The 12,000-nt window shown below is 40.3% G+C and overlaps 1 protein-coding gene across 2 annotated transcripts in view; it reads left to right on the top strand.

Moving 5' to 3' along the window:
• The window catches only part of SHQ1 (SHQ1, H/ACA ribonucleoprotein assembly factor), a 123,174-nt gene that overhangs the window by 87,461 nt on the left and 23,713 nt on the right, over positions 1 to 12,000 (top strand). The window contains exon 11 of one of the 2 annotated variants that reach the window (NM_018130.3): positions 10,149 to 11,708. The exons of the other annotated variant lie outside the window; for it this stretch is intronic. Within the exon in view, the coding sequence (NP_060600.2) occupies positions 10,149 to 10,701 (553 nt within the window). The 3' untranslated portion in view covers positions 10,702 to 11,708. Of the gene's footprint in view, positions 1 to 10,148; positions 11,709 to 12,000 lie in introns of those variants that run through there. 2 annotated transcript variants of the gene reach the window in all.

Below are 12,000 nucleotides of genomic sequence, written 5' to 3'. Positions count from 1 at the left end.
TATCGATCTAATTATAAGAAACCTACAATTGGCTTTTCATAAAAGGATATGAAGGTCTATTTTGTGATTTTTAAAACCTTGATATATTTTGTAATATTTCAAGAAGACAGAGTTATTTTCTGCCAGGGACTTTTGGAAAGTGGTCACTGTCATTTCCTTAAGGAATGATTTGATACTGATTATTTTCTAGCTCCACATTGTATTTTTCCTAAGCTTAGTACATCACAGTCAAGCTGACTTCTCCATAGGAATTAAGTAGCATTGAAGTTTTCAACAGTCATTTTCAAAGATTAAATAATTTATATTACTCTCATAACAACTACCCTGTAAGCAGTTGAAAGAGAGCAGATGAGAGAGAAGAGCCCTTTAAGCTTGGAACTTTGGGATTAATATCTTGTAGCAACTCTTCCAGTTTAAGTCACACAAACTTTCAAGCTGCATCAAAGTACCCAGTCATGTCAACTACGTTTATAAAGTGGAAGAATTGGAGTAGATGACTTCTGTGCTCCCTTAAAGAATGAAATTTCAGTGGATCTCTCTAGCATAGCCACTTATATGTGTCATGCAGGAAGTCCTTTCTGAATATTCATTGAGTTTCTGCACTTAGAAAGTTACAAAGAAACGCGATGGTAGTCAAACCTCACAAAAATTCACTAATGAGCAAGCCTCTTAATAAATTTCATCCACATTCTAGTATATCATTTCCTTCCCAGCATCTTTCCCATCCATCTTGCCAGTATTTTTATTGTTTGACTTACTGTTGATCATTGATATTGTACAGTGCAAATAAATTGCAAGTCAACCAAAAGATCAAGGATTTCACGAAAACATTGGAAGTGATATGGGGGATGTGCTTGAACCACATGGAACCACTCACCATAGTAAACAATTGAAGAAGAAAACTCTACAATAATAGTGAAATTAGTGGAAAGTCCTTATTTTGAATATTAAAGGATTGATTAAAAGATTGATTTGAGCATCACATGATTGAGAGGCCCTTGAGGAAACTGATGATACCCTTGATTTTTTTCTGTAAGAATTACCTTCTCTGATTCTGCTACAAAAAGACCAACATGAAGTGATGAATGTTAGATGGTGCTGTAATATAATTTTGTTAGAACAATTACAAATACAATTAATATTTGGTTCATTCTTTGCTGTTTTTGAGAATTAGTACATGGTTGCAGTTTTAACCTACATATTGTTAACATTGTTAAATATTTCATCAATTTATTTTTGTAGTTTGTAGTTTTGTTTCAAGGTGAAGTATTTGGTTTTTGTTGTTGTTTTTTTGACACAAGAGTCTCCCTCTGTTGCTGAGGCTGGAGTGTAGTGCTGCAGTCTCTGCTCACTACAACCTCCGCCTCCCAGGTACAAGTGATTCTCCTGCCTCAGCCTCCTGAGTAGCTGGGATTACAGGCACCTGCTACCACACCCGGCTAATTTTTATATTTTTAGTAGAGACAGGATTTCCCCATGTTGGCCAGGCTGGTCTCGAACTCCTGACCTCAAGTGATCCGCCCACCTTGGCCTCCCAAAGTGCTGGGATTACAGGTGTGAGCTGCTGCCTCCAGCCTCAAGGTGAAGTTTTAACCTTATCATCATTATTTACTATTAAATTTTGGTCTCCATTTTAAGTTGATTTACTTTTTTCTGGTCTATTATCCTCTATTAATGAGCATCTCCACTATTGATTTCAGCTCTACAGGGTGTACTGTGTTATAGTGATGCCCTGTGATGTCCCTCCAAACTTCATGTCCTTGCAGAACCTCACAATGTGACCTTATTTAGAAATAGAGTCATTGCATATGTAATTAGTTAAGATGAGGTCATGCTAGAGTAGGGTGGGCCTTTAATCCACCATAACTGGTAACCTCATAAGAAAAGAAGAGACACTAAGACACAAACAGAGTGAAGATGGCCATGTGAAGTCACAAACACATAGGGAGAACACCCTGAACAACAGAGGCAGAGCTTGGAGTGATGCATTTACAAGCCAAGGAACTCCAAGGATTGCCAGCAACACCAAAAGCTAAGAGAAGGGCATGGAAGGGATTCTGCCCTGAGAAGGAGCCAAACCTGCTGACTCCTTAATTCTGGACTATTAATAGTAGCCTTGGCCAGGTGCGGTGGCTCACGCCTGTAATCCCAGCTCTTTGGAAGGCCAAGGCAGGCAGATCATGAGGTCAGGAGTTTGAGACCAGCCTGGCCAACATGGTGAAACCCTGTCTCTACCAAAATACAAAAATTAGCCGGGCGTGGTGGTGAGTGCCTGTAATCCCAGCTACTCAGGAGGCTGAGGCAGGAGAACTGCTTGAACCCAGGAGGTGGAGGTTGCAGTGAGCCGAGATCGTGCCATTGCATTCCAGCTTGGGCAATAGAATGAGACTCCATCTCGGAAAAAAAAAAAAAAAAAAGAAAAAATAGTAGCCTCAGGAGCTGTGAAAAATAAATTTATATATTTTGTTTTCTGCTACCAGTTTTTGGTGGTTTGTTATGGCAGCCTTAGGAAACTAATACAGGGAGTTTTCAGAAAATGATTCTGCTGATCCATGGACTAGATGATGTTTCTCAGAGCCTATGCCCACGAAATGGCATAAAAACCAGTTGAAATTTGTATGAGAAGTTGTGTTATTGGCCCAAACTAGATATGGTTTAAATAACTCTTTAGCTTGCAGCCTTCCTTGTGTTAAGTTAGTCGTTTCTTGTTCTTAGAGATTGAATGTTTTTGTTAATGGCTGCGCTGGAAGTGCTTCTCACTGTTATAGAATAAGAAGAGACAGCTTCAGGTTCCTCTGTGCATCCATTGGTATTTGTTTTTCTTGGCGGCTCTCAGATTCAAGATAGGAATTTCACCAGCAACTTCTACTTAAAGCCAGTGCATTACCTTTAGATCAGGCTACATACATGTGTTTTGGGCCAAGGAACCTAAAGTATGGAACTGGTTCTTTTCAATAGAGAGGAATTATGATATGTCATTATCATAAAAGCCCTTTTAAAAAAATTTAACTTTTAAGTTCAGGGACACGTGCAGGTTTGTTATATAGGTAAACTTGTGTCATGGGAGTTTGATGTACAGATTATTTTCACCACCCAGGTATTAAGCCTAGTACTTATTAGTTGTTTTTCCTGATCATCTCCCTCTACCTATCCTCCACCCTCTGATAGGCCCTGGTGTGTGTTGTTCCCCTCTATGTGTCCATGTGTTCTTATCATTTAGCTCCCACTTACAAGTGACAACATGCGGTAATTGGTTTTCTGTTCCTGCATTAGTTTGCTAAGGAAAATGGCCTCCAGCTCCATCCATGTTGCTACAAAGGACATGATCCTGTTCCTTTTATGGCTGCATGGTATTCCATGGTGTATATGTACCACATTTTCTTTATCCAGTCTACCATTGATGTGCAGTAAATGCCCTTCAGAAAGTTGAAGCCGGGCTCAGTGGCACGTACCCGTAGTTCCACCTACTTGGGAAGCTGAGGCAGGAGGGCTGCTGAGGCCAGTAGTTCAACATTGTATTGTGGTATTACTGCTCCTTTGACTACTGGTCTCCAGCCTGGGCAATGCAGTGAGACCCCATCTTTCAAAAAAAAAAAAAAAAAAGGAAAGAGAAGAAATTTGATCTACTGTTTGGTCCCAGATAGAACCTGAGATTGTGTGTTTTGTATGCTATGAAATTAAAAGGCCGAGTTAGCCAGTAAGCATCCAGTTTGAACTGTCTGGAATTGCCTCACTGGAGTCTTGTCCTCTGTGATCAATTGTGGGCTCTAGTCTCAGTATGTCATGCCTGGCAGGCTTCTAGGTTTGGGCAGAGGAAATGAAACCTAGTCGGTTACTCTGAGATTTATAGTAGACCTGCTATTGCAGGAAGTGGTGAAAAGTTGATTGATAGTTTGAGACAAAACTCTACAGCAAAAAAACAGGATGTATGCTTTCCATTTATACCCAGTTCCCCCTGCCCCTACATTTCAGGCTCCTTTTGCATTTTGTTTTGGTTGCTTCATAAGGCTGCGGAGGCTTTCCCCCTCCTACAGTCACCAAATGTAAAATAATTGAGGAAATTTTGTATCAGCTTAGCCATAGTAAAGGCAAGTACTTTCTGCTGTTGCAATTACTCTTTCGTGGTAGTTACATGTAGCATAACTTGTCTGCAGTCTTTAAAGAGAAATTCTCCAAATAGGATATTATTTCACATATGCAGAAAGAATGAAAGGTCTTTTTTAAGTTACATTGTAGGATTACATTTCCAGTAACTTTCTAAGAAAAATCTATTTTGAGTGTGGTTTTATTAAAATATGACAGCAGTGGTATCCAATTGTCTCTTTTAAATGCAGCGTCTCTTCATTCTATAATAAATATATTCTTAACAGGTAGGTGATCCTCACTTAGATATAAAACATGTAACTAGCCAGGCATGGTGGCTTACTCCTGTAATCCCCAGCACTTTGAGAGACCAAGGTGGGTGGATCACTGTGAGGTCAGGAGTTTGAGACCAGCCTGGCCAACATGGCAAAACCCCATCTCTACTAAAAATAACAAAAATTAGCCGGGCGTGGTGGCGCATGCCTGTAATCCCAGCTACTCGGGAGGCTGATGCAGGAGAATCACTTGAACCAGGGAGGTGGAGGTTGCAGTGAGCTGAGATCGCTCCACTGCACTCCACACTCCAGACTGGAAGGCAGAGTGAGAGTCTGTCTCAAGAAAAACCTAACCAGACAAACAAAAAACATATACTATAACTAGTAACTCAGCCTATGTGTTTGTTGAGAGTATCAAAATGTACCATGCCCAGGGCTGCCGCTCATGCCTGTAATCACAGAACTCTGGGAAAGCCAAGGTGGGAGGATCACTTGAGCCCAGGAGTTGGAGACCAGCCTGGGCAACATAGGGAGAACCTGTCTTTACAAAAAATATAAAAATTAGCTGGGTGTGGTGGCATGTGCCTGTAGTCCCAGCTACTCAGGAGGCTGAGGTGGGAGGATCACTTTTGCCCAGGAGGTCAAAGCTACAGGGAGCGCTGATTGCACCACTGCACTCCAGAGCCCAGGCAATAAAGCGAGAACCTGTCTCTAAATAAAGAAATAAATAGTACCTGATGTTTGTAAGAGTGGTTATCTAATAATGCCATTTGACCAAGCTTTTGGACATGAACTAGCCTAGTCAGTTTTGAGTACGACAGAGAAAAACTACTACCTACCTTAAGTGAGCTGCTTTCTGAAAAGGTAAGTCTGTTACAAAAGTAGATTGTGTAATTGACAAGGAGTGGCAGATTAGAACCAACTCTAATTGTACTAGTGGTTGAAAAAAACAAAACAGCTACTCTTTCATGGCTTAATTTTTTTTCCCTACAGGAATAATTTCCCTTTTTGTGAACAGTGATTGCTAGGTTATCTGTGCTAAGTAATTGAATAAAAACAAACCCAACTTTAATTCCTCAGACTACTGGGGCACATTCTACACCAATGCTATTTTGAAATTTTAATCAGTTTTTATCCTAGCATTCTTTAAGAATGGGAGAGAGTTCAGAATGTTTCTTTTATTAAAGTTTCTTTCAGAACTTTAGTATTAATTTAGGAAGCTAGCCAGCTTGAGGTATTAAAGGTGGGATAATAAAATAGAAATGAAGCTTGGCAAAGGATCAAAAATCAATTTATCTGTCTATCTATCTATCATCCATCCATCTATCCATCCATCCATCCATCCATCCATCTATCCATCTATCCATCCATCCATCCATCCATCAACTTATTGTATAACCTGGTAATTTTAAACATAATATAATGCCGAAAGTGAAAAACTTTTTCCTGAAGGATAAAAGTTCGCATCAGCTGGTTACAGGCAGGAGTTCCTGTTTGGGCCCCTGGACTCAGCTTCACCACTTTTCTGCCTGTTACACTTGTTACTTTCAGTCCCCCTGTGTGTGGGGTATGCTTTCTGAGAAGAGCCAGGATTCTAGGGGAGGAGCTTTGGAATTCCACATTTCTACTGTTATAAAAGACAGGACACAATATCTGTATAGTAGACAATAACAAAGATCCAAATAATATCAACTTGAGAATTGGCATGTTTAATATATTCAGCAATATTCACAAAAATGATTCAAATTTTACCCTTGTTTTCTAAACCTCCATAGATGATGCTTATATGTATACTTCATTTAACATTGTTAAGCTAAATATATTAGTCACAGTTCCTTTGGAGGATTCTGGGCTTTGTGCAAGTCAGAACTTGCTCAGTTGGAAGATGCTGAGTGGAGCTCAAGTTAGGAAGAAGTAAAGAATGTGGCCTTAAGAAAGGACACTTTGGCCAGGTGCAGTGGCTCATGCCTGTAATCCCAGCACTTTGGAAGGCCTAGGCGGGCAGATCACCTGAGGTCGGGAGTTCAAGACCAGCCTGACCAACATGGAAAAACCCTGTCTCTACTAAAAATATAAAATTAGTCGGGCATGGTGGCTCATGTCTGTAATTCCAGCTACTCGGGAGGCGGAGGCAGGAGAATCTCTTGAACCCAGGAAGTGAAGGTTGTGGTGAGCCGAGATCGTGCTGTTGCACTCCAGCCTGGGCAACGAGAGTGAAAATCCATCTCAAAAAAAAAAAAAAGAAGAAGAAAAAGAAGAGAAGAACACTTTGCAGAGCCTGTATATTCATGGGAGGCCCTTTGGTGGAACGGGAAGAGGGCTGGAGTTTTGAGGCTTGGGTTTCCAGTCGTGACCGCCCCTTGTTGGCTGAGTGAACCTCAGCGGCTCTCCTACCCCTGCAAGCTCTAGTTCCCTCATCTGTAATGTAGGGATAACAATGGCACTGATTCACAAGGTGGTTAATGGAGCAAGTGCAGTGATGTTAGTGGAGCATCATCCTTTGTATATTGTTGAGAAGTATTTGTCATGACAATTAAAATGAGATATATAGTCAGTAAAGTAAAAGCTTTTATTTTATATTTTTTATTTCTAGTATTAGAGTTAGAGGCAGTATCCACTTTCCCAAATTTATTACTCTTTATTTCTTAAGTTGTGTGTCACTACCCAGAGAGAACTCCCCTTCATGGAGAAACAGAGTGGTGTACTAGTTCTTTGACTGAACTTTGCAGCAGCTCAGACTGAATCCTTTACCACTGGTAGTCAAGGTTTCAAAATATATGGTGGACATTATCTACAACTGTCTTGGGTATAAATGCAAATTATGTTGCAGCCGTCATATTCCATAGCTATGCTTTTAAAAATGCCTCAGACTGATAAAAGATTAGCCAGGGGTTATAATGCTTTGGTGAATCATTAACTGACTCTAGTGGATCTCACCTTGGTTTTCCTCTTTACCCTAAACCCCTCCCTTTCTCTAAGCGCTCTGGAAGTTCTGGCACTGAAACCCAGGGCTAAGAGAAAGCTACCCATCAACGATGGTGACTGCCCTTGTCCCACTCACCGCACTGTGCCTCCCGCTCACCCTTGGACACTGCAGTGGTGCTTCTGTGGCCTGATTACACATGTGAAGAGGCAGCAGGGGTTGTGGGGGGTGGGGGGCAATCCCTGCACAATCTCATTATTGTGCTGAGTACTTTGAGAAATAGCATTTCAGGTACATGCAGGCACCCAGATTAAAATACCATCTTTGTTCGGTATTTCCCATTGTACCATCAGCTCCACTGAAATGAAGCCTCATTTTCCTGATATTATGGGATGGACTATACTTTTACAAATGAATTTATCTTGTAAACTCACCGTCATCCAGTTTGTCTCAAAGCCACTCAATGTTTTGTATGTTCATTTAATCTTTGGAGTCAGGGAAACATAGAAACCATGTCAGCATGTTTACCACTTTCACTCACTGTCACCTTTCTTCAGTTGTCACATCAGATTTCCCCTTAAGAATAGTAGTCATCTTTGGAGAATGCCAGTTTGTGTCATGTTGGTTCTTTTAGAAACAAAAAACAACTAAATGCATCCAAGTTAATAATGGAAAAGTTTATTTACTCGATACAATGTAATATTATAAATCTAGCAGGTAATTTAGAGGAAAAGCGTCTTCGGCTGGTCATGGTGGCTCACGCCTGTAATCCCAGCACTTTGGGAGGCCGAGGTAGGTGGATCACGAGGTCAGGAGATCAAGACCATCTCGGCCAACATGGTGAAACCTCATCTCTACTAAAAATACAAAAAAAATTAGCTGGGCCTGGTGACTCATGCCTGTAATCCCAGCACTTTGGGAGGCCGAGGCTGGCAGATCACGAGGTCAGGAGATGAAGACCATCCTGGCCAACATGGTGAAACCCTGTCTCTACTAAAAATACAAAAAAATTAGCTGGGCATGGTGGTACGCGCCTGTAGTCCAAGCTACTCGGGATGCTGAGGCAGGAGAATCACTTGAACCTGGGAGGCGGAGGTTGCAGTGAGCCGAGATCACACCACTGCACTCCAGCCTGGCGACACAGTGAGACTCTGTCTCAAAAAAAAAAAATCTTCTGAAATAATATGAAATGGTTTTCTCATAAAAAGAAAAAGCACTCCATGCTGCTGATATTGCTTTTCCTCCTTGTACATTTTAAGATTATGAACATTTATATAGGTTTAAAAAATAAAACAATAGGCAGTGAAAAGGCTCCGTCACGCCATCATCCTGTGTCATCCCCCATATTTCCAGTTCCCACCTTATCTCCTTTACAGAAGTTACTGTTTTCTGTGACTTTGGAGAGTTTATTAAGAAGTATACAAGCAAATAGAAATATCTGTTTTGATATCTTTCCTGTTATTTTCCCTTTTTATATATATGTAGCATATACATATGGTGAGCCTTTTGTGTTGCTAAGCAGTAAGTCTGGATTGGCCCATGGAGAGCTTCATTCATTGTACAGCTGTAGGCTATTCCGTTGTATGGATATGTCATAACTTATTTCACCAGTCAACCAGTCTTATAACAAGGACATTTGGCTGTTTCCCATTTTTAGGTATTAAAAAACGATGTCATAGTAAATAACCTCAGACCTATGTCATACATGACATAGGTTTACTACATGTGTTTAATTTTCAGACATGGGGCTTTCTGGGTCCAGGGTATATACATTTTCCATTTTGAAAGTTATTCAGACATGGGGCTTGCTGGGTCCAGGGTATATACATTTTCCATTTTGAAAGTTATTGCCAAGTTCTCCTTCATGGGGATTGTAGCTATTTAATCTCCCTGCATCAGTATATGAAAGTGCCTTTTCTCCTGCAGTCTTGTTAACAGAATAATATCAAATGTTTGGGTATTTGCCAATAAAAAATATATCTGACATATGACTTTAATTTGTATGTCTCTTATTTGACTGGAGTTGAACATCTAATATATTTAAGAGTTACTTATATTTCCTTTTTTGAAAATTGTCTGCTTGTATCTTCTGTCCATTTTTCTGTTGGATTGTTATATATCCATTATTAGGAACTCTGTTAGGAGAGTTAGGCTTTATTAGTGTATGTATATGTATATATATATATATATATATACACACACACACACACACACACACACACACACATATGTGCTTATTATAGATATATTACCCAGAAGAAATTGATATTTCTATTTTTCTTTTTGAGATGGAGTCTCACTGTGTTGTCTAGCTGGAGTGCAGTGGTGTGATCTTGGCTCACTGCAACCTCCACCTCCTGAATTCAAGTGATTCTCCTGCCTCAGCCCCCCCTCCACCCAAGTGGCTGGGATTACAGGTGCCTGCCACTGTGCCCAGCTAATTTTTTGTATTTTTAGTAGAGACAGGGTTTCACCATGTTGGCCAGGCTGGTCTTGAACTCCTGACCTCAGGTGATCCACCCGCCTCAGCCTCCCAAAGTGCTGGGGTTACAGGCGTGAGCCACTGTGCCTGGCCAAGAAATTGATTTTATTTAGTTGAATTTATCAGTCTTTTGTGGCTTCTGAATTTTGAGTCATAGTTAGAAAAGTCTTCCTCCTTCTTAGGGTCATAAAAGAAATCTGTGTTTCCCTGTAATACTTTTAATAGCTTCATTTTTTACATAAATATCTTGGATCTGTTATGATATATATCCTGGTGTGCCATTTAAAATATGGATTCAACTTTATTTTTTTGGAAGCTGTATAACCTGTTATCCCCAGGCCAATTAATAAATAATTCTAATCTTTCTTTTTAAAATGTTTTCAAGATCCAAAAAGTTGGCAGCTCTTGCAGAAGCCTTAAAGGAAGTCTCCCTTACAAAGGCCCAGCTGGGGTTAGAACTGGAAGAACTAGAAGCAGCAGCACTGCTTGTCCAGGAGGAAGAAACTGCATTAAAAGCAGCCCATTCAGTTTCTGGGCAGCAGACACTTTGCTCCAGCTCTGAGGCAAGTGATTCGGAGGACTCAGACAGCAGCGTGTCATCTGGAAACGAAGACTCAGGCTCAGATTCAGAACAAGATGAACTCAAAGATAGTCCATCTGAGACAGTCAGTTCTTTGCAAGGTCCCTTTCTTGAAGAAAGCAGTGCCTTTCTTATTGTTGATGGTGGAGTACGCAGAAACACAGCCATCCAGGAGTCTGATGCCAGTCAGGGAAAGCCACTTGCCTCTTCCTGGCCTCTTGGAGTGTCTGGGCCTCTGATAGAGGAGCTTGGGGAACAACTGAAGACTACAGTTCAGGTTTCTGAACCCAAGGGCACCACTGCTGTAAACCGCAGCAATATTCAGGAGAGAGACGGCTGTCAGACACCAAATAATTGACTCTTAGGTGGTTTTATTCATTGTTGAGAAATATGGTAGATTGGGTTTCATTTACCGAATGAGAATTCTTCATTTTCACTTTGTAATTTTTCTTAGTATATAGTCAGCCCACTGTATTTGTGTGTTCCACATCTGTGGATTCAACCAACTGCAGATCAAAAATATTGAAGAAAAAATCGCATCTGTACCAAACATGTACAGACTTTTTTCTTGTTATTATTCTCTAAATAATACAGTATGACAACTATTTCCACAGCATTTACATTGTATTGGGTAATATAAGTAATCTAGTGATGATTTAAACTGTGCAGGAGGATGTGGGTAGGTTATATGCAAATACTGCACCATTTTTTATCAGGGGCTTGAGCATCTGAGGATTTTAGTATCCTCAGGAGTCCTGGAACCAACCCCCCACAGATACGGGGACAACTTTATGACATTGTTTTTCAACCAATGAATGTTTATACCTTTTGTTTTCCTTGCCGCGACTGTGAAGATAAAGTTCAAAAGTATTTTTACCAAAGTGTAGCTAATATTTCAAGCTGAAAATAATAGTTCTACTGCCCGTGTCTCCAGAATGTAGAGCCCATCAATATTTTTATTTTAGGAGGTGTACTTGACACCCAATAAACTGCACGTATCAAAAGTGTACAATGTGTTGGCGTATGTATACCCTGCGTAAAACTATCACCACAACTGAAGTGAGGAACGGACCCATCATTCCCAAGTGCCCTTGTGCCCTGTTATTAGTTTGCATGTCCTAGAATTCTATGTAAATTGAATCATACAATATGTATCCCTTTTTTGGTCAGGCATATTTTACTCAGTATAGTTATTTTGAGATTCATCCATGTGGTAGCATGTGTCACGAGTTTTTGTTTTTATGTTTTTCATTGCTGAGTACTGCTTCATTGAATAGATTTGTTCATTGACCTATCGATGGACACCTGGGTTGTTTCCAGTTTGGGGCTGTTATAAATAAAGCTGTTATGAACATTTGTGTACAAGTCTTCATGTGGACGTATGCTTTCCTTTCTTTAGTCAAATACCTGAGAGTGGAATGACCAAGCCATATGGTAGGTATATGTTTAATGTTTTAAGAAAATGCTGAACTGTTCTCCAGCATGGCTGTACCATTTTACATTCCCACCAAAAGTGATAGTTTATGCGAGTTCCAGTCTTCCACATGATGGTTATTGATATGGTCAGTCTCTTAAACTTTTACCATTTTTATAGATGGATAGTGGTGTTTTGTTGTGGAAGTGTCTGTTCAAATCTTCTGCCTGTGTGTGTGTGTGT

Source organism: Homo sapiens, chromosome 3 (genome assembly GCF_000001405.40).
Source record: "Homo sapiens chromosome 3, GRCh38.p14 Primary Assembly".
NCBI classification, from domain to species: domain Eukaryota; kingdom Metazoa; phylum Chordata; class Mammalia; order Primates; family Hominidae; genus Homo; species Homo sapiens.
Note: the sequence above shows the minus strand (reverse complement) of the source record. Positions and strands in the feature narration are given on the sequence as shown.